Here is a 25,354-nt window from a genome sequence, read left to right as displayed (position 1 = left end):
TTTTTAGTAGAGATTGGGTTTCGCCATGTTGGCCAGGCTGGTCTTGAACTCCTGACCCCAGGTGATCTGCCCAGCTTGGTGTCTCAAAGTGCTGAGATTACAGGCGTGAGCCACCGCGTCCAGACTAAAAAAATAGTCTATTAATTAGAAACAATAACAGATTGGCATTATCTAAAAGGGTTGAAGAGGCGCACATCTCATGACCTGGCAATTCCACTCCTGGGGAGGGACCCTAGGACAAGTGGGCACATGGGCGAGAGTGTTCACAGTAGCATGGGCCACTCAGCCAATTCAGATACCACCCAAGTGTTCATCAACAGCAGAATGGATGAGAAGCCTGTTGTATGTTCGCATGATGGAACATGGTGGAGCCATGGAAGCCAACGGACTATAGCTAGAGAAACCAAGAACTCAACACACTGAGATTATTTCACACCCCTATACAGGAAGATGCAATGTTATCAAGGTTGGCTGCACATCAGACAAAACAGCAGGTGAAAGAAACAAGGAACAAAGCAATCACCTAGCTTTATTCTATTTACATAAACCCCCACCCTGGCCCCGACGGGGAAAGCCACACCAGCTTGTTTAGGGTTGCTAGGACAGAAGTGTTGCCCATATAAGGAGGAGGCAAGAGTGACCGCAGGTGCAGGGGCTCTGCTGGAAGGGTGCAGGGGGAGGGGAATGAGGCTGGGGAACTCTACCGGGTGATCTGGATGGCAGTCACACAGATGCGGGCTCTGAAGTTACACATCCTGTTGTACATTTATGATGCATGTCCTTTTCTATATGGGTGTTGCATTCAAAAATAAAATAAGCATCAAAACAAGAATCGGCTTTGTTCTCTTATTTGATTTATTCTGCTTAATTCAAGGTGCAAATGACCAGCCACTGTCATCACTCCGGGTCCAAGCATCCCCCAGGCCGCATGGCATTGGGCACCTCTGGCATTTCTGGGCGAGTGGACCGGCCAGCCCCAGCCTCCTCGCCCACACAGAGGCTCTCGCCCAGCGTCACCAGGGCCTGGTGTGGGCCTTGTCCCATGGCCATGAAGCACCCTCCTGGGCCAGGCCGCCCCAGTGCTCCCTGCCCTGGAAGCTGCCTCCTCTGCCGTTTCCTGCCTCCTCAGCACAGAAATAACCCCACGTCAGGCACCAGCATGTGTGTGTGGGCTTCTCCCAAGCACACGCAGAGAAGTGACTAACGGGGTGTCACTTTACCAGCGCCTGCAGCGGGGACCCCCACGTGGGCCAACTGGAAGCTTCCAACAGGCTCGCGTTGTGCTGATCAATCATTAATCTGGACATTCAAAAGCATTTTATTTGCTTGACAAGGAGCTGATTGCTGAAGTTGCCAGGAGCCCGAAGTCATTTTTCTCCTTCCTCCCCCTATGAAAAAGCATTCTCCTCCTGGCTAGAGGGGCAGCAGGGCCTGCCAGCGCAGGTGGGGTCCTTGCTGCCCCCCGTCTCATGCTGAGAACTGCAGCGCCTGCCCCCAGCCCCACCACCTCCAAGGCCTTGGCACCTGAGCCCCTCACTTTCTCTTCACACCCCTTCTGCCGTCCTTTCTCATAGCTCTGCCCCCTGCCCTGCCCTGGCCCAGGACTCACCAGCTCCCTCCCCCACAGGGCATAGGCCAACTACACCCCCACCCCTGCAGCCTTCAGGGCCAGCCCAGAGGCCACCTCCACCCATGTTTGGGGCCCCTCTCCAGGACTCCCAGGGCAGCCTTGTTCTCCCACCCCTCCTGGCAGTGCCTCCAGCACCCTGATGCTTGTGCTGTGGCCTTCAGACCCATCCAAAATAAGTTAGGCATGGGAGGTCACTTCATGATCACCAGCTTGAGCCAAAGGGATTGAGACAGTGGCCCATACACCCAGCCAGCCTCAAACAGACCCACTCACCCCGGGGCTTCCCCTCAGGCCCTGTCTCGCAGGAGTCACAGCCTCGAGCATGGCTTCGGTCTTCAAGAAACACCCCCATGGCCTCCCCAGAGCCTAAATCCAGCCCTGAGCAGCCAGAAAGTTCAGGGACAATCACCCCCATGACACAGAGGACAAACCGAGGCCAAAGGAGAAACCTCCTCCAAAGACAACGCGGCACTGCTCACCTAGGGCCCTCCGGTCAAGCCACGAAACTTGCCCCTTCCCTGAGGAGGAGCCAACGTGTTCACCGGAGGGGTCCCTGGCAGCGGAGGTGGCTGCAGTGTGGGCACCACTCTTATGAAGCATCCATCAGAGGCTCCTCCGGTGCATGGCCAGGGGCCTCCACACTCTCGGGGGCCTGAGGGCAGGCGTAGCCTGGCTCCTCCTCAGCCGCACGTCTGGCAGTCTTTCTCTTCTCGCTACAGCTGACATCTGGCTCTCCCCAGAACCCCTACAGTCCTTCAGGCCCCCACAGCCCCAACTCCAGCTCAGGATTGGTCCCTCCGCCATGGCTGCTGCTTGTCAGTCACTCATCAATGGCTTCAGCTTTGGGCCACTCGCTGGGAGGGACAGGATGGTATCCACCTCCCAAAATTCAGATATCAGAGCCCTAAACTCCAGGACCTCAGAATGGGACTGTATTTGGGGATAGGCTCTTTAAAGAGCTGATTCCATTAAAGGGAGGTCATGAGGGTGGCCCTGTTTGCATCCGAGGGGTGTCCTGATAGTAGATTAGGACATAGGCACACCACCCGGAGGAACAGGGAGGAGGTGGCATCTGTAAGCCCAGGACGGGGCCAGAGAGGAAACCAGCCCTGCAATTCCAGGGCCTCAGAGTTCCGGCCTCCAACATCGTGAGAAAGTTCATTTCTGCTTTTGCCCCACCGGTCTGTGGTACTGGCTATGGCAACCCCAGCCAGCCAACGTACTCACAGCCTCTGAGCATCATGGGACGGCCAGTCCATCTGCCCCCTGACCCAGTGACCGTCCTCTCCTCCTGAGGCTGCAGCCTGGGCTGTCATCACCCACAAACCCACCTCCAGCATCCGCTCCACGGCCGCTGCCCTGCCATGCTCCGCACTCCCACCCTCCGCAACTTCCAGCCCCCAGCCTTCCTCCCGACCAGGACCGCGTGTCCTCATTGAGCCAGTGACACTTTACACTTCCTCTCCTGCCCGCCCTTCCTCCTGTGCCCACCTCGGCACCCGTGGTCTATCAGAATGACCACGCCCTTGCCCTCTGCCGCCCGTGCATTTCCTCCCACCATAAGCAACCCCAGCGCTGGGGGAATATACTAGGTGATGGTCTTCGGGTGTTGGTGCAGGCAGCATGTGACTGTGATCCTGGAGAAAAGGAAAGCCTGTGAGATGAGCGCCACGTTGGCCCAGCCCTCCACCCAGGACAATTTCCCCACCACTCATGCAGGAGTGGAGCCCAGGCAGGGTGTGGCAGCAAGCTGAGCCCAGGAGGCAGAAACCAGAGCTCAGGCACTGAGGGGACAGGACTGTGGGGGGCAGGATTCCAGAGAGAGGGTCCGGAGGGGAGTGTAGGGTTCACGGTCCCTGGTGGGGCCTTGCATTCAGAGGGCAGGACCAAGTGCCCTTCTCCAGGGCAAAGGCAGGACAGAGAGCGTAGCAGTTAGCAGCACTGGAAGGTGGTGGGGCTCAGGACCAACCCAAGTCAGGAGGCGAGCTTGGCAGGTGGAGCAGGCAGCTGAGACACAACCATGCTCAGAGCCCTGCTCCAGACACATCCTCAAAACGCCAACACTGAGCCCCCAGGTCCACAGGGGAGACAGAGTGTGGGGACTTTGCGTCACCAAGGTAGAGGCTGGGTAAACGCCATGGGCCTCCAGGACCTGTTTCAACAAAGCATAAAATCGAGATCTGCACAGGCTACTGGGACAAAAATCAGCACTTCTCAGAGGAAGATAACAGAATCCAGAGTTTCCACAAGGTACCATTTACAATGTCTAATTTACAATAAAAAATGACTAGCCAAACAAAGAAACAGAAAAATTGCTTTATGTCAGCAATTATAAATACGTCCCAGGTTTAAAGGGTAATTCCAGAGCTGAAAAATATAATAGCTGAATTTTTTTTAAAACACTGGATAGGTTTAACAACAGATTGGAGATAGGAGAGTCAGCAAGCTTAAAGACAGAAATTTCTATGTCATCTGAAGAACAAAGAGATTGAAGATTTCTAGAACATGAAAAATAAGTGTGTTAAACATATCTTTTTGACACCCAGGACCCTGCTGACCCTGGAGAAACTGCTCTCCGCCACCTCCCAGGCCTAGTCAGTTCCTAGAGAGTGTAAACACTGGGGCACAACTTCCATACGCAAACCAGCTAATCCAGAACCTGCACCCATGCCACCTCCTCTATGGGCTTTCACACTCAGCAGGGTGGCCACAAGTCCCACCCTGATTACCCCAGGGCAGGTACCAGACCACTAGAGACAGCACCTGTACCCCAGAGCCCACCAAAATGACTGAAATGAGCCAATCGTCAGCCTGCTTGCCTGGCCGGACCTTCCCGTGCTTTTCCGTCACTCCTTCTTCCCCCTTGGCCACTCCTGGTGCTGCCCTGTGTGGCCCTGCATGGTGTGGCATGACCCCTCCTCTTGGGAGCTGTGAGTAACAAACCATTTCAATGGCGGTCATCCCCTGGTCTATTGCCCTTGTTGTATCTGAATAATTACAAAACCTACACTTCAGAACAGTGCCTCAGTGGTCTCAGATGGCCTGGGATATGTGTTAGCGGAATCAAAAAAGAAAAGAGAATGTAAAAGAGCAGAAAAAAATATTCAGAGATATGATGGCCAAGTATTTTTCAAAGTATTGAAGAAAATGTCAGTTACAGATCCTAGAATATCAGCAAACCCCAAAAAGAATGAATATATAAACACACACACACACACACACACACACACACACAACTGAGCTCATTATAGTCAAAAGACTGAAAACCAAGAGTGAAAAGAACATTTTGAGAAGAAACAAGAGAAGGGAAAACCCACTTATTCCTCCAGCAATTAGCCTCCCTCTCCTGCACTTCAGTTTCTCCCCCTCTACTTGTTCCCACTATTGATGTCCAGTTGTTTCTTTATGCTATTCTTCCTCACCCACATCTCTCTTCAGCTACTACCCGCATTTCTTTGCTCTTCTTCTGGAAAGAATGGTCCATCATCGCAGTCCCAGCTACTCCTCCCATGTCCTTCAGCCACTGTCACCAGCCTGTTTCCTCCCTGCCCCACCCCACTGGTCACCAAGACCCCAGTGGCTCACATCAGTGAGGGCCACCAAGCCAGCCAGCAGTCTTAGGCCCCACCCTCCTGATCTCTCACAGCCTGTGACATGGGTAGCCTGTGACGTGGGTGGTCTCTTCTCCTTGCAGCACCACCTCCTGCAGGTGTCCCCCACACTCACCTGGCTCACCCCCACCTCAGCAGCCACTCTTTCTGAGGCCTTTTGTTGCCCTCTCATCTCCTTCCAGCTCCTAGACTTGGCTTCCTCGCCTGTCTGTCTACATCCTCCCTTGAGGTCTCACCAAGACTGTGGCTCAAACTTCAGCTGCATACTGAGGACTCTAAAAGTACACACCTCTAGCAAGGGCCTCTCCCTGAGCTTCAGACTTGAGAAATCCACCTTCCATTCAATGTCTCCACTTAAGGGCTAACAGGAGCTGCAAACCTAACACAGAAAGAGGAAAGAAGGAAGGAAGGAAGGAAGGAAGGAAGGAAGGAAGGAAGGAAGGAAGGAAGGAAGGAAGGAAGGAAGGCAGGCAGGCAGGCAGGCAGGCAGGCAGGCAGGCAGGAAGGGAGGGCAGGCCCTGCAACAGAGAAGGTGCAGTGCTGTGTCGACATCCTAGGGACTTGCTGAATGGCAAGATGTGGAGTGAGGGCAAGTGTATTAGTCCACTCTCACGTTGCTATTAAGAAATACCCAAGACTGGGTAATTTATAGAGGTTTAATTGACTTGCAGTTCCACAGGGCTGGGGAGGCCTCAGGAAATTTACAATCATGGTGGAAGGCACCTCTTCACAGGGTGGAAGGAGAGAGAATGAATGCTGAGCAAAGGGGGGAAAATCCCCTTATAAAACCATCACCCCCATGATTCAATTACCTCCCACCAGGTCCTTCTCACAACATGTGGGGATTATGGGAAATATAATTCAAGGTGAGATTTGGGTGGGGACACAGCCAAACCATATCATTCTGCCCTGGCCCCTTCCAAAACTCATGTCCTCACATTTAAAAAGCAATCATGCCTTCTCAACAGTCCCCCAAAGTCTTAGCTCATTCCAGCATTAACCCAAAAGTCCAAGTCCAAAGTCTCATCTGAGACAAGGCAAGTCCCTTCTACCTGTTAGCCTGTAAAATGAAAAGCAAGTTAGTTACTTCCTAAATACAATGGGGCTACAGGCATTGGGTAAATACACCCATTCCAAATGGGAGAAATTGGCCAAAAGGAAGGGACTACAGGCCCCATGAAGTCTGAAATCCAATAGGGCAGTCATTAAATCTTAAAGTTCCAAAACAGTCTCCTTTGACTCTACGTCTCACATCCAGGTCACGCTGATGCAAGAAGTGGGCTCCCACAGCCTTGAGCAGCTCCACCTCTGCTGCTTTGCAGGGTACAGCCCCCATACTGGCTGCTTTCATGGGCTGTGCAGCTTTTCCAGGCACAGTGCAAGCTGAGCTGTTGGTGGATCTACCATTCTGGGGTCTGGAGGACAGTGGTCCTCTTCTCACAGCTCCACTGGGCAGTGCCCCAGTGGGGACTCTGTGTGAGGGCTCCAACCCCACATTTCCCTTCCACACTGCCCTAGCAGAGGTTCTCTGCAAGGGCTCCACCCCTGCAACAGACTTATGTCTGGACATTCAGGCATTTCCATACATCCTCTGAAATCTAGGCAGAGGTTCCCAAACCTCAATTATTGACTTTTGTGCACCTGCAGGCTCAACACCACACGGAAGCTGCCAAGGCTTGGAGCTTGCACCCTCTGAAGCAACAGCCTGAGCTGTATGTTGTCCCCTTTTAGCCATGGCTGGAATGCAGGGCATCAAGTCCCAAAACTACATGAAGCAGCAAGGCCCTGCACCTGGCCAAAAAGACCATTTTTTCCTCCAAAGCCTCCAGGCCTGTGATGGGAGGGGCTGCTGTGAAGACTTCTGACATGACCTGGAGACATTTTCCCCATTGTCTTTGTGATTAACATTTGGCTCCTCATTACTTATGTAAATTTCTGCAGCTTGAATTTCTCCCCAGAACATGGGTTTTTCTTTTCTGCTGCATCATCAGGCTGCAAATTTTCCAAACTTTTATGCTCTGTCACCTCTCGAATGCTTTGTTGCTTAGAAATTTCTTCTGTCAGATACCCTAAATCATCTCTCTCAAGTTCAAAGTTCCACAGATCTCTAGGGCAGGAGCAAAAAGCTTCCAGTTTCTTTGCTAAAACATAGCAAGAGTGACTTTTACTCCAGTTACCAACAAGTTTCTCGTCTCCATCTGAGACCATCATCTGGACTTTATTGTCCATATCACTATTAGCAACTTGGTCAAAGCCATTCAACAAGTCTCTAGGAAGTTCTAAACTTTCCCACATCTTCCTGTCTTCTTCTGAGACCTCCAAACTGTTCCAACCTCTGCCTGTTACCCAGTTCTGCCTGTTACCACATTTTTGGATATCTTTATAGCAGCACCCCACTCTTGCTACAAATTTATTGTATTAGTCCATTCTCATACTGCTATAAAGAACTGCCCAAGACTGGGTAACTTATAAAAGAAAGAGGTTTAATGGACTCACAGTTCTGCAGGGCTGGGGAGCCCTCAGGAAACTTATAATTATGGCAAAAGGCACCTCTTCATAGGGCAGCAGGAGAGATAATGAGAGCCAAGAAAAGGGGGGAAGACCCTTATAAAATCATCACCCCTATGATTCAATTACCTCCCGTGTGGGGATTATGGGAACTACAATTCAAGATGAGACTTGGGTGGGGACACAGCCAAACCATATCAGCAAGTCAGGGTCAGGATGGAACTAAAACCCAGTTCTGCCCAAGCCAAAGCCTCTAATGGTTCATAAGATGATACCCCAGAAGAGATGTTCCCTAGCTGTGCCCAGGTCAGGATGATGCTCTCTCCAGCACCAGCCTGAGCTTGAACAAAGGCATCTTCTTTGTGTAGAAAGCAGCCAAATATGTCATCCTAAGCTGGAGCCCCTCCTCCTACTCCTGGGGAGCAGCAGTAGAGTAAGCCCCATACCACCTGCACAAGCACCCCCTCCCCATCAGCAGACCCCACATCAGTCACCACAGCTTCACAGCCTTGACCCTCAAGCTTTCCCCATGCTGCCTGCCTACCCAGCCTGGTGTCCTGGTAGTGGGAAGACCTACCACTGGACTCCACAGACAAATGCCAGTGCATGGATCCCAGGGGGTTGAGCCACTTGATCCCTGGATCCCATGGATCTGGCATACTCAGCAGCCAGATTAGCAGCCTCCCTTGCAGGCCGGACTTGGGGGATAAATAGAGGCAAGGATGGAATTAGCATCTTCAGATCTCTCTGGGATGGGAACAAAACCACAATCTCTGCCAAGTTGATGATAATGAAGAGATGATGACAATGACAGGGATGATAATAATGATGACAATGACCATGATGATGATGGTGATGATGGTGATGTGATGGTAATGATGTGATGGTGATAACGATGATGATGACAGTGATAGTGATTATAATGATGGTGATATGATAGTGATGGTGATGATGGTGATGATAATGATGGCAATGATGATGGTGATGATGATGGCAATGATGGTGATGATGATGTGATAGTAATGCTGATGACAGTGATGGTATAGCTATAATGATGATGATGTGATGGTGATGATAATGGTGATGAAGATGATGGTAATGATGGTGGTGATATGCTCATGGTGGTGTGTAATGGTAAGGATGGTGGTGGTGACGATGATGCAATAGTGATGATGATGGTGATGGTGGTGATGATGGTAATGGTGATGATGGTGGTGAGAGTGATGTGATGGTGATAATATTGATTATGATGATGATGGTGATGATGGTGATGGTAATGATGGTGGTGATGATGGAGTGTAATGGTGATGGTGATGATGATGGTGGTGGTGATGACGGAGTGTAATGGTGATGGTGATGATGACGGTGACGGTGATGATGGTGATGATGATGATGGGGTGATGGTCATGGTGATGATGATGGTGTTGATGATGTTGATGGAGTGTAATGGTGATGGTGATGATGGTGGTGGTGATGGTGATGGTGGTGATGTTGATGATGGAGTGTAATGGCGATGGTGATGATGGTGGTGATGTTGATGGAGTGTTATGGTGATGGTAATGATGATGGTAATGATGGTGATGATGTGACAGTGATGATCATGATGGTAATGATGATGGTGGTGAGGGTGTTGTGATGGTGATATGATGATTATGGTGATGGTGACAATGACAATGATGACAGCCATCTTCTGTTAACCACCAACTACATGTTAGGTACTCCCCATGCATAGACTCATTTGATTCTCACAACCATTTAGAAAGATGAATGGCATGTCCTCCCTCCATGGAGGAGCAAACTCAGACTCCTCAACTTTAAATGTTCACTAAAGTGGACACAGAGCTAGAGTCAAGCTTTAGGCTCAGGCCAGGCCCCACCACCAAGTGCTGGTGCAGGGCTGGACTGTATGAGCCCTTGTCATTGTTCTCTGAATTATCTCAGCAAGCCTGCTGTGGTTGTCATTTTACAGATGAGGAAAGTGGGTCCCAGATGGGGTAAATGACTCAACAAAAGTCAAAGCTCCATCAGCAAGTGGCAGGTCTGAGGGGCAGCATCACGTCCCAGAGTGCTGGAGGGGCAGGCAGAGGCCTGGCCTCTTGGCAACTATGAGCCTCCATGCCTTCATCTCATCTGTCATTATAGCAGTAAGGGTCATCCTGACCACCTTAGAGGTGCCCGAGGAGATGCACAGAATGTCAGGCACCCACCAGGTGCTTGGCAAACCCCGCAGGGTCTAGCCAATCCCAGAACCAGGCTCCAGCTCCCAGTCCTGTGCTCCTCTCCTTTGCTGCCCTTGCCCCTCTGGCCAGACCTCCAGGACCATCAGTGGACTCAGGTCGTGGCCTGGGAAGCTGCAGACCTGAGCGAGGAGAAACATGGTGAGGAGCAGCTAGAGGCTGAGCCTCCTCCAACATCCCCACCAGGACAGCCTTGTAAGCAATGAAATGGTTAAGGCCTCCCAGCCCAGCAGAATTGGCTCATTATCATTTCTAATATGGATCAATACTCTTCAGGCATCTGACAAAGCCGGCAGCTCTCTGTTCCCTTCCTGCCCTCCAAACATAAAAGATCCCCTAAGCCACACTGGCCCGGGGCTCTGGCCCTAGCCCCCTCCTCAGGCCTCATCTCCATAGTGGTCTTAATCAAGTCGTGGGGAAAGATGCAAGTCAATAAGTCCTCATTGATCACCTCCTCTCCCCTCCACCCCACTGACATTCTGTCAGCCCCTCCCCCACAGCCAGCCGGGCTAATGGGGGTCCTTGCCTCCCACGTAGGTAGTGGGTGGGGGGTGCTCGTGAAAGCCCTGATTGCTCTGAGGCCCAGGGCCTCCGTCGCAGCGAGGGCTCCAACACAACATATGCCTCCTGCCCGACGGCTTTGTCTTCAACAATAAAACAGGGTTTCTCTCCCGCCTCAGCCCTGGGTCCAATTTATCAGGCCTGGCACTGATCATCTGCTTCCCTGTCACCAGCCGGACTTGGGGGATAAATATAGGCAAGCAGATACAGAATTACCGTGACCAGATCTCTCTGGGTCGGGAACAAAAACCACTTTACACTCCTTATGAAGCATTTCCACCATCACAGACATGAAGGCAAAGGGGCGGGACCCCAGCAACCAACGGGAGCTCATCCTTCCCCTTGTAAGAGCCAGAGGAAGCTGCCACATGGAGCTCCCAGGCTGTGTTCCTTTGGGAAGTCACCTGCAGTGACTGAGCCTCAGTTTCCCATCAGGGACACCTACCTTGCAGGGCTGCGACAAGCACTCACGGAGAGAATAAAACAAAGGATCTTCCACTGAGCTTAGCAGACAGTGGGTGCTCCGTGAACGGCAGTTAGCGCTGCTGCCTTTAACGGTGCGACTGTCCACAGCCAGGTATGGCATTCGGGATGTGTCACGTCCACGCCCCACGGAAATGTCAGTGACAGTTCGCACCCTTGTTCGTCCTCAGCCATCACTCCTAGAGCTGCCATCTGCAGACAGTGACCAGCTCAGGGTGGCACCACAGGCCCGCCCTGCCCTTTTGAGGCTCTGCAGGGCTGCCGCAGGAGCTCCAGGTAGATTGATGCCCGCCTGTGGCAGAGGTCCCCAGCGGCTCTGCACAACATCTCAACAAATGTTCCTGGACAGGCGGCCTGGGCTGGAAGCCGATCAAACACCATAAATACTGCGCACCCAAGGCCGTGACTACATTACCGCACGGTGTGTAAATAACAGGCCCGGGGTGGAAACACCCGGGAACAACCTCTAGCCAAGTAATTTATGCCCCTGTGAAACCCGATTAGATCCCAGCTAAGTGACTTCGCGGACGGGCAGGCCGCTTTGGAGAGAGAGAGACTGAGTGAGCGGCCACCACAAGCACCCAGGGGGGCCTTCGTGGGGCCATCATCTCCCCTGTGAGGGGGCAGGCTTGGAGCTCAGGCATCCCATCAGGCTGGGTGGGGTAGCATCTTGGTGACCCAGGCCACCCAGGGGTGATGACCCCACTTTAGCGTGTGGTGGGAGGCACCCTGCAGATGCATCCTACCCAGGCAGGATGGACACCCCGTCCGCAGCCCCTGGGACACAGCAGGCCCAGCCTCTCGGTGCATTTCAGTCTAAATGTAGATGCAAGTTCAGTCAAGGCCTCAGCCAGGAGCCGCCCTGCACAACGAGGCTAGCATTACATGTGCCCCTCCTGGGCAGGGTCCCCGGCAGATGGAAAACATGGGCCTGGGGCGGGGACGGCTCCTGACCCAGGATAAGGACCACAGTGGCCAGGTCAGGGTGGCACCACAGGCCTGCTCTGCCATGCCAGCCCTGCCAGGCTGACCACAGTTAGCAGGGTCTGTCAGAGGTGGCCGGGGCAGCAGGAGGGCAGGACACAGCCCAGGCCTTGAGGCAGGCACCACTCAAGAGCAACCGGCCACCAAGTCCTCCCTCAGAAGGGGCTTGTGTCACATCCCCTTGCACTCCCCGCTGCTCCCCCTCCACAGCCCCCCAAAGGGGCTCTACCCCTGGTGCCCATTTCCCCATGGCCCACATACCCCAAGTGCTGCCCCACGGCTACTGCTCCTGCCTTCTCGCTGAGCCTCGCCTTGGGCCCACCCTGCTCCCTGCTTCCCTCTGGCCTGGCCACTCACCAGGCAGTTGGGGCACACTGGTGTGCAGATCTGGGGGCCGGGCACTGAAGTCAGCTCAGGCTCAGAAGCCAGGCAGAGCTGGGTTCAAATCCCAGCACTGCCCGTCTTAGCTGAGTGACTTGAACAAGTAATGTTAACCCAGCCTCAGTTTACTCCTCTGTAAAGGAGACAATAGTGCCTCCCCTGATTTCCCTGATAGGGGTGGGTATCCCAAGTGAGAGAGAGAAGGTCAGTACCCAGAAAACCCTGGGGGACGGTAAGAGAGTGCTCTGGAAGCCACCTGTGGCTACTGGCCAGGTGGCAGTGGTGAGGGAGGGGTGGGTGAGGCTCAGGAATCTGGACCCATGGGAACAAGGGCTGCACTGGGACCCAGGCTGCGGGCGTCCCCTCTCGCCACCTTGGGCAAAGTACTCCACCTCTGTGAGCTCCCAGGGGGCCCTGTCTACCCATCCTCACAGGAACACAGGAAGGATCTGGTCACGTCACCTCTGCTCAAGCCCTCTGGTGGCTTCCTAGTATTTCTAGAGTCAAGTCCAAGGCCTTTCCACCTCGTACCCAGCTTCCTGCCCATTCACTCCACCCTCCTGCCACCACCAAAGTCTACGCTCCAATCACCTTGAACAAGTTACTCTTCCCAAGCAATTCTACCTCTCCATGCCTCCCCCTAGAGTCACCTTAGTCTCCAGCTCTGCCTAGTGAATTCCTATTGATACTGCAAGACTCAGCCCAAATGGCCCAACCTCTACGAAACTGTCCATTGTTCTCAAAGCAGAGTTAAGTCACACCTTCCTCTGAGCCCCCACAGTAGCCTTGGCTTAGTCAGAAAGGAGATCAGTATGACTTACCCCTTTCCAGGAACTACTTCCTGTTCTCCACCCCACAGCTATTGCAAACCTGCTAGGTTAGTGCACTGTGACCCCACTGCCCTGGCCCCAGCTGAGTGATCCTAAGGGAGCCACCTGATTCAGGCTGGGCCAATCAGAGCACTTTTCCAGGGTTACTGGAACTTGAACTAGGAAACAAAAGTCAATTTATCTCTGGTGGCCAGAGGTGTAAGGTGCAAAATTGGGGAGCCTCCAGCCACACATTTGCCACACGTGGAACAAACCAGTGAGAGAGCTGAGGCCTGACCTGGGAAGGAGACCTCTGGGCCTTGGCCCTGGTGGCCCCTAAATCCCAGCTGCCTCCCATCCTGGGGATTCAACCATCCTTAGATTCCACAGGATGCCCAGGTCTCATCCAGCAAATCCTTCAGCCCCAGCTACTGTGAGAGTTTCTGTCACTGTTAACCTGTGAGTCCCCATCCCTGGAGACAGTGATGGTCTCATCAGGCTGACGGCCCTACATGGGGCAATTCATTCAGCCCCTAATGAAAGCTCAGCCGCAAAGCCCCCACTGACACGGGTTCTTGCAAGGCCTAGAACCAATTAGATATTTCTACTTTTAAATTTTCTTTCTTAAAGAAGACCCCCCAAAGTTGCACAAGCATAAGACCCCTGGGATCCTTCTCTGGCCACTGCAGCCTGGGAGTCTCCAGGGCAGGCCTCTGTCTGTGAGTCTCTCTGGGCCATGCCCAGCACACAGGAAATGCACAGGAAGCGAGGACACAACCCCATTGAATCCCTGGAGCCCTGCATCTCATAACTAATTTAGCACTTCCTGGCCTGGCCCCCTTAATAACACAGGCACAGGAAAGCGTGCAGAGGAGGGAGGACAAGGAGGCTCAGCTGCTGACACCTGCAGGTCAGTTCTGTCTTTCTTCTAGCACAAGCCTATTGCTAGCAAGGGGCCAGGCTGGCTCACTGTGGCACCTCTGTGCCCCCAGGCCCCACAGGGGCCACCTCATCTGACCACTGTCCCAGCGGCCAGAGAGACCTGCTGGGTCTGCACTGAGAGCCTGGGCCCATGCAAATGACCCCTCCTGGTTCAGGAGCCACCACCACAAGGGCTATGAGGAACCAGGGACCCTCATCCCATCCCCGGCACCACTAAAACGAAACGTTAGGCTCATCGGAGTTCCTACCACTAAATCAAACACTAATCTGCTCCCCCTAATTTATCTAAGACAATATTAGCCAGACAAAATGAAACATAAATGTGAGTATGAGCCCGGCTATCTGGGAAGTGGGAGCAGGCGGCCTGGGGAAATGGATTTATCGTGTGTTTGCTGAGGCAGGCCAGGCATGCATGCCCGCAGAAGGCTGGTAGCTCCAGCTCGGCCCGGGCTAGCCTCACACAGGCGTCCACCTAAAGGCACATCAGCTTCCTCCCCAGGAAACAGTGTCGGGCACCATTGGAGCTTGAGAAACGGGAAAGTGAACCAGGGTGCCCTGCAGCTGCTGAGAATAATTCACACCAAAAGATTTCTCCAAGTGTTAGCGGACCTAAAATATCAGTGAGAGAGTTGGAAGCAAGCCGTATACCCAGAAGGACCCTGGTGGACATGCTACTTTGGTAAACAACTAATGGGATCCTAGAGTCAGAGGCAGAGGAGTAGCCCCACATAACCCACCAGTGACCATCAGTGACACATCTGTCAGGCTGTCAGGTGTGTGGCATGTGGCTGTCCTGTCTAACTTCCACCACAGCCCAAGGCCACCGGGATTTAACCCAATTCCCAGGTAAGAAAACTGGCTCCAGAGAGTGAAAACCACTTGCCCAAGATCCACGTCAATGAGATCTGAAGCAAGTCACACCCACCTTCACTCAGAGCAGCCCCGGGAGCCACACCTGCCTTCACTCAGAGCAGCCCCAGGGAGCCACACCTGCCTTCACTCTAAGCAGCCCGCGGGAGCCACACCTGCCTTCACTCTGAGCTGCCCCTGGGAGCCACACCCACCTTCACTCTGAGCAGCCCGCGGGAGCCACACCCGCCTTCACTCTGAGCAGCCCTCGGGAGCCACACCTGCCTTCACTCTGAGCTGCCCCTGGGAGCCACACCCACCTTCACTCTGAGCAGCCCGCGGGAGCCACACCTGCCTTCACTCAGAGCAGCCCCAGGGAGCCACACCTGCCTTCACTCTGAGCTGCCCCGGGGAGTCACACCTGCCTTCACTCCGAGCAGCCCCGGGGAGCCACACCTGCCTTCACTCCGAGCAGCCCCAGGGAGCCACACCTGCTTTCACTCAGAGCAGCCCCAGGGAGCCACACCCGCCTTCACTCTGAGCTGCCCCCGGGAGTCACAACCGCCTTCACTCCGAGCAGCCCCGGGGAGTCACAACCGCCTTCACTCTGAGCTGCCCCAGGGAGCCACACCTGCCTTCACTCAGAGCAGCCCCAGGGAGCCACACCTGCCTTCACTCAGAGCAGCCCCGGGGAGTCACACCTGCCTTCACTCAGAGCAGCCCCGGGGAGCCACACCTGCCTTCACTCCGAGCAGCCCCAGGGAGCCACACCTGCTTTCACTCAGAGCAGCCCCAGGGAGCCACACCCACCTTCACTCTGAGCTGCCCCCGGGAGTCACAACCGCCTTCACTCCGAGCAGCCCCGGGGAGTCACAACCGCCTTCACTCTGAGCTGCCCCAGGGAGCCACACCTGCCTTCACTCAGAGCAGCCCCAGGGAGCCACACCTGCCTTCACTCAGAGCAGCCCCAGGGAGCCACACCCACCTTCACTCCGAGCAGCCCCGGGGAGTCACACCCACCTTCACTCTGAGCAGTCTCCAGATCCCAGGAGGAAATGCAGCTGGGGTGATGGTGGGCATCTACCCACCATGGGTCAGCAACGCCCCCTGGGAGGCATCTTCCCTCCATCCCACCAACGACAGCACTGCTCTTAGCCCCACTCTGTTGAGAGTAGGGAGACGTGCCCAAGGTCACAGCAAGGTCAGGCCCTCCCTGACCCAAGCCTTGTGGCCTCTCCTCCACCCAGGCCGAGCCCAGCCGGCGTTCAGCAGCCAGGGACAGGCTTGCGGCCTGGAAACCTCTGGACCAGGCAGGGGCCCACAGCTCCTTCTGCCCCAGGTGTCTGTACAGCCCTGTGGTCACTGCTGCTCTGTCCCCTGCCTGGAAAATGGGCTGAAGCCACATGGATGAGACCACCTGAGGCAGCAGGTGGAGCCGAAGGTCCCTGTCCCTGGAGAGCATGGGGCCCCCGAGCACCCAAGGTCCCGGCCAGATCCAGCCCCTGAGCAGAGGCTGAGTGCTGTGGCATGGATGGGTGGGTCTGAGCCGGGAGCCCCCACTGTGAAGTGGGACTGGGAAGCCCAAACACCAGCAGGGGGCGCTCGGCTCAGATCACTGGCGCTGGCGGAGACACCAAGTCTGTAGACTGGCTCCGAGGTGGCCGGTGGTCTAGGGGACCCCCCACCCACACCCCTCTCTGGTTATCCCAGGGCCACCACAGACTACACGCCACCAGCCTGGCTCCTCCAGAGCAGACATCCAGCTTCTGGCCGCAGACCCCACCCAGATCTGCCTTCCAGCACATTCTGCCCCCTCCCCAGGGCCCTGGAGCAGATTACATCGAACCCCTTGAGCTTCCTGCCAAGGACAAGTGAGGGGCCAGGAGAGGGAAGCCCCATAAATCTCTTTGGAGACATGTGCCAAGATACCAGACACCAAAATCTCATTAGCAGGCTAAACTCTCGGGAGGAAATGGAAAATAAGTACCCGCAGATACAGGCCTGGAAACCGCAGGACCCCGAGCAGGAGACATGGATTAGTGGAGATGATATCCACGGGACAAGCTGTTGCCACAGGGGTTTTGCATGTTTTTTTTGTTTTTGTTTGTTTGTTTTTGCTTTAACTACAGTTTAAGTATAGCAGGACCCTCAGCACACCGGGTAGGTGGGGTTGAGGCCCTTTATTCACAAGAGAGGAGAGGAGGGAGGGCGAGGCCTGGCGGCAGAGGCACAGGGGGCAGGCAGGCAGCCGGGCCCTCCCAGGAGGGCATTCGTTCGGGAGCGTGGCTGCGCTGGGGCCCCGTCCATGCTGCTCAGAGCCCTGGCGCGTAACAGCTCCTTCCACGCAGGGAAAATCCATCCAGGTTTAATGGAAACATTAACCTCAACTCACCCGATTTCCTCCTCGCACTGAGGTCTGAGAACGGGAAGAGGCTCCGAGGCTGGAGCTCCCCAAGGCCTGGCACAGACGCGGGCCCACGGGTCCGGGAACACTCAGCGAGGGCCGGGACAGTGACAGTGGGTGCCTTCATCAGAGCAGAAGCAGCCCCAGGACGCCCCCACCCCTCTCGCCAGCTCAGCCAGCGTGCTCTTCACAGGCTGGACATGACAGACAGGAAGAGGAAAGCCCCTCCCCCAGCACTCAGCTGCTCATGCTCCCTCCGGAGTCTGCGCAAATTACCAAGGAAAGGGGGTGGCCCAGGCAGCTACGCCGTGTCCAAGGTCACCTGGTCCCCCTGGCGCAGTTCCAGGACACCCCAGGCAGGAGGTTGTCAGAGAAAGGAGGAGGCAGCTGGGGTGGGGGCGGGGGCGGCAGGCTGCCTGCAGAGGCGGGAGGGCAGGGTCGGGGAGGGGCTTTGGGGAGAGTAGGAGTCTGGGAGTGGACCACGCCCTCACACCCTGCCCCCTCAGCCATCAGCAGAGTGACCCAGAGCGGGAACTTGGCCAACGGTGAAGGCCACAGCAGGGGCCCAGAGGGGCTTGTACAGGGCACGTGCCGTAGGGTGCACAGCCACCACCCCGCGTGGCAGAGGCCTTAGCAAGAAAACTGAGGGAGTCTGCTGGGGGCCTCCAACAGTGGGGAGTGGGGGAGAAGACGCTGGCCTCCAAGTCCCTGACAGCTCCATCTATACCTCAGCAGGGAGGGGCAGGGTTGGTCCGAGACCAGGGTCAGGGCCCAACCCATTTTGAAGGGTCCGAGAGGCAGCTGCCCTCAAGAGACCTAGCTTGTGGCTTTGGTCTCCTCTGCACCCTTCAGGGCAGCCCTGTGCCATGACCCCGCACTGACCCTGACACAGGAGGCTGTACCCAAGGAGCTGGCACTTGGGGATGGGCCACAAAGCCATAAGAGCCTTCCAAGCAAAGACGCAGAAGGCCAGGAGTGGAGTCCCCGTCTCTTGGGCTGCAGGCCAGCACTCCCTGACCCATGCTGGGTTGAGGACCCCAGGCAGGCCTGAGGGACAGGCTGGCCGCATGTTCCCACCCTCAGGTGCCCCTGTGTGATGGCCTTGGTCACACCACCTACTGTCCCCCACCACATTGAATGACCCGCCCATGGGATCTGTGGTCTAGCAGTTTGAGACTAACTTCGATTTCTTCCTCTCCTTTTGTCCTGCCAGCCCCACCAAGAGGCCTGTGCACAGAGCCCAGGGGAGCCCGAAGCTCCCTGACACCATAGAGACCCCCTAACTGGCACAACGCTCCATGCAGGCAGAGCCAGGCCACAGCCACAGCACCATCAGAAGACGGGAGGCGGCTGTGCCTGGCCCAGGGAGCAGCAGGTGTGCAAGAGAGCAGGTCTTTCACCTGTGCTCCGAGGTGAGCAGGAAGATCTTTCTCCAATTGCCCTAAATGTGGGAGCCTGGTTTTCCATGTCAGAGAACAAACATTCCATCATTTTTATCTTTTCTGTCAGGTCCCAGAGCAGCTGCTTTGCCAGCGTCTCTGTTGGCAGGTGGCTCCATGTGAAGTCATCAGAGCCGGGCTCAGGCCACCCAGATGACGCACAGAGACAACCCCCCAGCAGGTCAGAGGGTGGCGGCCCAAGGTGGCTGCAGAGGACAAAGCGGGGAGGAGGGGCCTGGCCCCCCTCCGCAGGGTGCAGGCTCCCAGCACATCTGGGCGCCAAGGGTCCTGGTACCATGAGGGGTAGAGCAGCTCAAGGGCACCAGGCCAGCCACTGCCCGGAGGCTTCCCCAGCCCACACCCACCAGGGCTGCCCCTCAGCCTGGGGCCTTCCAGACCACCCTCCACCCACAGGGCGGCATCCCCCCTCTTCATGGCGTCTGAACACCTCTCATCTCTTCATAGCATCCGAGACCCTCCGGAACACCTCTCCACATCCACCTACCCGGGCCCCGGCCCTCTGTGCTGTTCTATGCTGCAGGTTTGCCCAGGGGGTGCCCCCACCGCACCCCCTTCTGGGGGCCAAAGGCTCAGGCTACACGCCTGGGGAGCACTGGTGGCCTTTGCCTGGGTCTCGGGTCCCCATGTTCCCCCACCCCAGCTCCTCGCCATGGGCTGACTCCCAGTCTCACTCGTTTCCGCTGCGTAGGAGCAGAGACTTTCAGGAAGGACTCCATAGTCCTTGAGACCACCTCTCTCCCCAGCTGTCAATGCCACCGGGGGTGCCTAAGAGCCCAGGGAGCCTGCATGCCACCCACCACGTGGCCTGGTGGGGAGGCTCTGACCAGCGTTTCATTTGCAGACCGGGTTCCTGGCTGTGCTCCCTTCCCTGGGGCAGCCCGGCCTGAGAGGCAGGAGTTCTGGGGACCTGGGGAGGGCACCTGTGCGGATGCAGGGTACACAGATGGCCTGCGGAGACAGTGGGTCCTGAGCGTGGAGAGTCACCAGCAGGTCCGAGCCTGAGAGAGTTGGGTGGGGCCCATGCAGGGTCGGCTCCAGGAGCTCCGGTGGGGAGAGTCAGGATGGGCCGAGAGCCAGCAGGGCAGAGGGGAACTCAAAGGGCCCCCAGTGTGCCCCATGTTCCTGACTTCCTAGGAGGCAGTTTCTGCAGTCCCCAGATACAGATGGGAACAGAGACACAGGGTGGCTGAGTTCCCAGCCGGGGCAGGTGGCTGGCAAAGGAGCCCTGGCAGAGCCCTGTGACCCCAGATTCCAATCCCCTCAGCCCAACGCCCTTTCCTTCCTCCTCTCCCTCTGGAGGACCCCCCGCCCCGCTACAGAGCAGGGTCCTGGCCCCGAGACGTCGCTTCACCCTGCTTTTCGCAGGGAAGCACGTGCAGCCGCGGGAGGATAGAGGGGCCCCAGCTGCCCCCGCCATGCCGCCCGCCACAGAGGGGACACGGCTTTGGACCACACGCAGAGCTCCCGCCAAGCTGGTGAGTGTAAAGTGGGCTTTTGTCGGCGGCCCACGACAGCTCCCTCTCGGGGTCTTCCCATGTCCTCAAAGACAAAGGGAGCTTGTCCCAGAAGAGGACCCTGGGGAGGCCTCGGGGCTGTCCTGCTTCCGAGGGAATGAGCCTGGCCCCCAAAGGAGCAAGCCCATCCCCCTCCAAGCCCTCTCACCCCAAAGCCAAACATTCCTTGAGGCCAAGCCCACAGGCCCATTGGGCTGCCTTCCGGAAGGGCGATAAATCCACAGGCGGAATAATCCCCAAGCCCAGAGCCTCCGTATATCAGAGGGACCAGCTGTCATCAGTTCAGTAGCCACCTCCTTCCTGGCCAGTGTTGGCCCCACACACACTCGTGCTCAAGTCTCGGGGAAGCAGCCACCGCCGCAGGCTGGGCCTCCTGCGGGGCGGGGGCGAAATACGTATAGATGTGGAATCCAGACCCAGAGACTCACAGCAGCATTGAGTGAGCCCCCCACACACGGCTAGCCTTGCCACCCCTCCTGGTTATGGGGACAGGCAGGAAGCTGACGTTATGTATTCATCTGTACCTCCGGAACTGTCACCGAGCCGCCTTATTTACTGACCCTGTTACCAGCCAATGTGGACTTCAGCCCAAAGCCACCGCCCTAATGGATGCGGATCAGGGTCAGCTTCTCTCAGAGAGGCTTGAACTCTGAAAGGGGATGATCAGCTTCTACGTCATTGGGGGAGGGGGCCGGGTGGACCCCGCTTCACATAGGATGTGCAGCCCTGAAGGGGTCAGGGTTTCTGGGCAGCTGCTGAGCCAAATTAAATACCACCTCCCTCTGAGTCTGTGAGAGAGGACACACGGCTGGGAAGAGCCCCCCGCCCCGCACCATGTCTGACTCCAGCCTACCCCACGTGCACCCTCCCAGCCAAGCTGGCAAAGAGGAGCCCCCTCCCCCGCGCCTCCCATCTGGAACCCACCCTGACATCCGCAGGCCGCTAATTGCACAGCGGCCGGTGCCAGAGTCTTCCCAGGTTGTTAAAATTCATCACCGAGTTCCCCCGACTCCAAGCCTGCTGCCCGCGCAGCCAATCGCGGCCACCCGGGCCTCATCCAGGAGGCGATCTGTGAGCCCGGGCACCTGCAGAGACCTCTGTCGCTATCCCATTAGGAGGGGCCCCAGAAGGATGCACACCAAAAGCATCCCGCAGCCTGTCATTAAATATTGATAAAAGGCAGGAGGGGAGAACACTATGCAAACTATTTATTGATTTTCCATGTGCGGAACTGAGATAATGAGAGGCCAGAGGACAGTGAGGGGCTGGGGGCCTGGGGGGTTGGGGGGCTGGGAAGGGACTCTTGGTGCCAGCTCAGCAGGGACTCATGGAAGGACCGGAGCAGACAGAGAGGCAGTGTCCCACACACCTGGGCCCGAATTCCAGCTTTGCTGCTTACGGGTTTTTGGTACCTTTTTTTTTTTTTAACAGAACCATTTGCTTTTTTTTTTTTTTTTTAACTTTAAAACAGTTTGCATAGTAAATGTTTAAGAATTGGTGGTCACATGTATATTATGAAAATCCCTCTGTAAAAAATCTCGAAGACCTGAATTCTACATCTACTTTAAAGAACAGTAATGCTTATATTTTCAAGAAAGAACAAAAATGCCGCCCTTTTCAGTGAAAAGGCACAGCCAGCCCCTGCTTCCAGCTGTGAAAGACCAGGCTGGACCCATGAGGCAGGTCAGAGGCTTCCAGGAGGTGTCCTCCCTGCCTGGTGGAGCCTAATGGCTCCAGAACATTCTGCTCTCCCAACAGCAATGCCTCACAGGTGGCACTGGGCACCCTACACGTCTCATCTCATTGGATCCTAAATTAGCCTTGCAGCCTGTACCAGGCCCTGTTAGCCCCAACTCACCAGCGGGGCTGAGATTGGGCCAATCTGCAAACCCACGTCTGCAGCGGCTTCAGAAACCAGCGGGTCCACCCTTCACTCTGGAGAGATTCTGATGCAAAGCAGTCCCTTTCAAAAGTAGAGTTTTTAAGAAGCAGCTGCTTGGTCATCCAGAAACCTCCATATTCCAGACCTGACCTTGCGGGTGTCTCCTGGCCTCACGTGTCTACACGGAGGATGCTTGCTCCTCAGTCCCCCAAGTCCTGGGAGATGAGGGGCCCGGGTAGGCACCTGTCACATTCCCTCAGCCAGGACTTCACCACCCAGCCCTGCATTGAACAAAATGTGAAAACTGAGGCCCAGGGAGGAGCCAGGACGTGCCCCAGGTCCCCCAGCCAGCAGGACAACGCGGGGCCTCCAACCCTCAGCCGAAGGCGCGGTTCCCTGCACTCCCCTCCCCACAGGCGCAGTCCAGGCCTCTGCACTGCCCTCCAAGGCGCGGGCTCCAGGGGACCTGCCACTGGCCCAGACAGGCCTCCCCGGGGCTGAGCGGAAATCAGGAACGACAGGGAAGGGCCCTGAGCCCTGAGAGGGTGAGAACTGCTTGTTTACGAGGCTAATCCCCCAAGAGAGCCCAAGGTGAGGAGGAACGGCTGAGCAAAATCATCACCGCTGCCACCATGTGGGCTCTGGTCTGTCCATCCACAGCCCCCAGGACCCAGGGGGGCCCCTTCATGACCACTCCCTACTTGGGAAGAGCCCCCGACATGGGAGCATACCAGCCGCCACTTCACTTCAGGGGGCCCAGGGCTGGGAGTTCAGGCTGTCGTCCTCAGTGGGCCCCGAGAGCACTCTCCACTCCCTCACCCAGTCTGGAGGATGAGAGTTCAGGCCAGCAGACACCTCTGTCAGCTGCTCACCCCAGCCCCACAGAGGGGACTGTCTCTGCCTCATCTGTACCTGGTCTGGCTTCTGCTCCTGCCTCCTGACTCCCTCCCCAGGGACCGCTCAGTGCCACCCACATCCTGGCAGATCACAGAGAACTTGGAGCCAAAGGCCTGGGTTCCAGACCCAACCTGTCATGAGGTGCAGGCACCAGACCAGCAGCAGACTTGGCTTCCCCAAGAAACCAACGGAGATGCAAATAATATGCAAATAATATGCAACCCCGGCCTGGATGATGCCTCAGACCAGTGAGGTCACTGTATACACAGCCTGGGGGCACTGGGAGCCCTGGGCAGCTCCTGTCACATTCCCTCGTCCACCTTGGGGCGGGCAGCCTGCAACCACCTGGACGAGGGCTGCCTCACTGTGCCAGCACAGTGCCACCCGGACCAGGGCCACCTCGCCACACTGCTGCAGTGCCACCCGGACCGGAATCACCTCACCACACTGCTGCAGTGCCACCCGGACCGGAATCACCTCACCACACTGCTGCAGTGCCACCCGGACCAGGGCCACCTCACCACACTGCTGCAGTGCCACCCGGACCAGGGCCACCTCACCACGCTGCTGCAGTGCCACCCGGACCAGGGCCACCTCACCACACTGCTGCAGTGCCACCCGGACCGGAATCACCTCACCACACTGCTGCAGTGCCACCCGGACCAGGGCCACCTCACCACACTGCTGCAGTGCCACCCGGACCAGGGCCACCTCACCACGCTGCTGCAGTGCCACCCGGACCAGGGCCACCTCACCACGCTGCTGCAGTGCCACCCGGACCAGGGCCACCTCACCACGCTGCTGCAGTGCCACCCGGACCAGGGCCACCTCACCACGCTGCTGCAGTGCCACCCGGACCAGGGCCACCTCACCACGCTGCTGCAGTGCCACCCGGACCAGGGCCACCTCACCACGCTGCTGCAGTGCCACCCGGACCAGGGCCACCTCACCACGCTGCTGCAGTGCCACCCGGACCAGGGCCACCTCACCACGCTGCTGCAGTGCCACCCGGACCAGGGCCACCTCACCACGCTGCTGCAGTGCCACCCGGACCAGGGCCACCTCACCGTGCCGGTGCCGCACATGCCAGGCAGGGAGCGGCTCTGCAGCCTCAAGTCTTTGCTCAAATCCCAGCTTCCAGAAGCTTCAGATATTTAGTCAAGATACTGAGCTATTCAGTCTCCCGTGCCTGTTTCTCTAATACAAAATGGGGATAATATTAGTATCTATTTCTCAACGAGGCTCAAAAGAGTTGATGTTTGTAAAAGGCTTAGGAAGAGGCCGGGATGCAGACACTGCCCGGCTGGGGCCGCTGTTGTGATGGGGGCAGCCTAGACTGGGAGAGGCCTTGGGGTGGAATCTGTCACCTTCCATGTACAGTTGTCCCCAGTGGGCATCCCGCACCTCCCGGGGTCCTCCAGAGCCAGAGAGTAGTTAAGCGGGGAGAGGGCAGCCGGGGGAATTGGCTCGTGGGCCACGACTGCCCCACACGAGGGAGGCTCTAAAGCGAGAAGCTGCCTCCAGCCAGGGTGAGGTGACCTGGGAAAGGCCCGCTCCCCCGTGTCCTCTCCACCCCTGCCAACTCCCCAGGGCTACTAGCATTTTCCTCTCCTCCACATCTGTTGAGGAGGGGGATTTTGTGGCTGAAAGGACTAAAGCTCCGTCTTTCTTCCAAGTCCTGGGGGAAGGAAAGCCCAGCCCCTCCCTGATCGCCCCTGACAAAAGGGGCGGCTGCAGATGGGAGCCGAGTGCCCCCGCCCGATGCCCGATGTCTTTTGCAATCAGAAATTCACTGGGGCATAGTGTGCGTGCTCACGGCAGGGCTCCGAGCCCCAGGCACCCCAAGGGGCAGCGACTTGAGTCCACGGAAGCCCTTCGTGTCCACCCCGACCTGAGGCTCCAGTGCCTGTGTGACGGCCTGCAGCATCTGTGGATGACCCATGCCCCCCTCTCACCCCTCCTGGCCTGTGGACTTGGGTCCTGCCAGCTGATGTCAGTGTCTCTCCCAAGTCATTACAGACCCAGCAGATCCTCAGCCCAGCACGGCCCCTTCCTATGATACCCACAGTCGGAGGGGTTGGGGGACTTGCTGGGGAGGGGCTGGAGCCACATGAGGAGGTAGGAGAGCAGGGGCTACCAAGAGGACCGCCCACCATCTGCCATACCCGCCATCCACTGTGCACCGGAGCATGTGGCCGGTAG

The 25,354-nt window shown here is 56.6% G+C and overlaps 1 long non-coding RNA gene across 3 annotated transcripts in view, besides 4 other annotated features; it reads right to left on the bottom strand.

Annotated features, from left to right (window-relative positions):
- The window catches only part of LINC02691 (long intergenic non-protein coding RNA 2691), a 64,486-nt gene extending 46,866 nt beyond the window's left edge, over positions 1-17,620 (bottom strand). For all 3 annotated transcript variants that reach the window (NR_146612.1, NR_146613.1, NR_146611.1), the window contains exon 1: positions 17,388-17,620. This is a non-coding gene — a long non-coding RNA (long intergenic non-protein coding RNA 2691). The remainder of the gene's footprint in view (positions 1-17,387) is intronic.
- Positions 523-1,367: an enhancer, noted in NCBI's record as "H3K4me1 hESC enhancer chr14:104706174-104707018 (GRCh37/hg19 assembly coordinates)". NCBI's record gives its function as "activates a minimal SCP1, AML or CMV promoter by ChIP-STARR-seq in primed H9 embryonic stem cells {active_cell/tissue: H9 hESC(primed)}" and the evidence as "EXISTENCE:reporter gene assay evidence [ECO:0000049][PMID:30033119]".
- Positions 1,368-2,213: an enhancer, noted in NCBI's record as "H3K4me1 hESC enhancer chr14:104705328-104706173 (GRCh37/hg19 assembly coordinates)". NCBI's record gives its function as "activates a minimal SCP1, AML or CMV promoter by ChIP-STARR-seq in primed H9 embryonic stem cells {active_cell/tissue: H9 hESC(primed)}" and the evidence as "EXISTENCE:reporter gene assay evidence [ECO:0000049][PMID:30033119]".
- Positions 3,065-3,566: an enhancer, noted in NCBI's record as "H3K4me1 hESC enhancer chr14:104703975-104704476 (GRCh37/hg19 assembly coordinates)". NCBI's record gives its function as "activates a minimal SCP1, AML or CMV promoter by ChIP-STARR-seq in primed H9 embryonic stem cells {active_cell/tissue: H9 hESC(primed)}" and the evidence as "EXISTENCE:reporter gene assay evidence [ECO:0000049][PMID:30033119]".
- Positions 17,766-18,658: an enhancer, noted in NCBI's record as "H3K27ac-H3K4me1 hESC enhancer chr14:104688883-104689775 (GRCh37/hg19 assembly coordinates)". NCBI's record gives its function as "activates a minimal SCP1, AML or CMV promoter by ChIP-STARR-seq in naive H9 embryonic stem cells {active_cell/tissue: H9 hESC(naive)}" and the evidence as "EXISTENCE:reporter gene assay evidence [ECO:0000049][PMID:30033119]".

This window comes from Homo sapiens, chromosome 14 (assembly GCF_000001405.40).
Source record: "Homo sapiens chromosome 14, GRCh38.p14 Primary Assembly".
Classification (NCBI taxonomy): Eukaryota; Metazoa; Chordata; class Mammalia; order Primates; family Hominidae; genus Homo; species Homo sapiens.
Note: the sequence above shows the minus strand (reverse complement) of the source record. Positions and strands in the feature narration are given on the sequence as shown.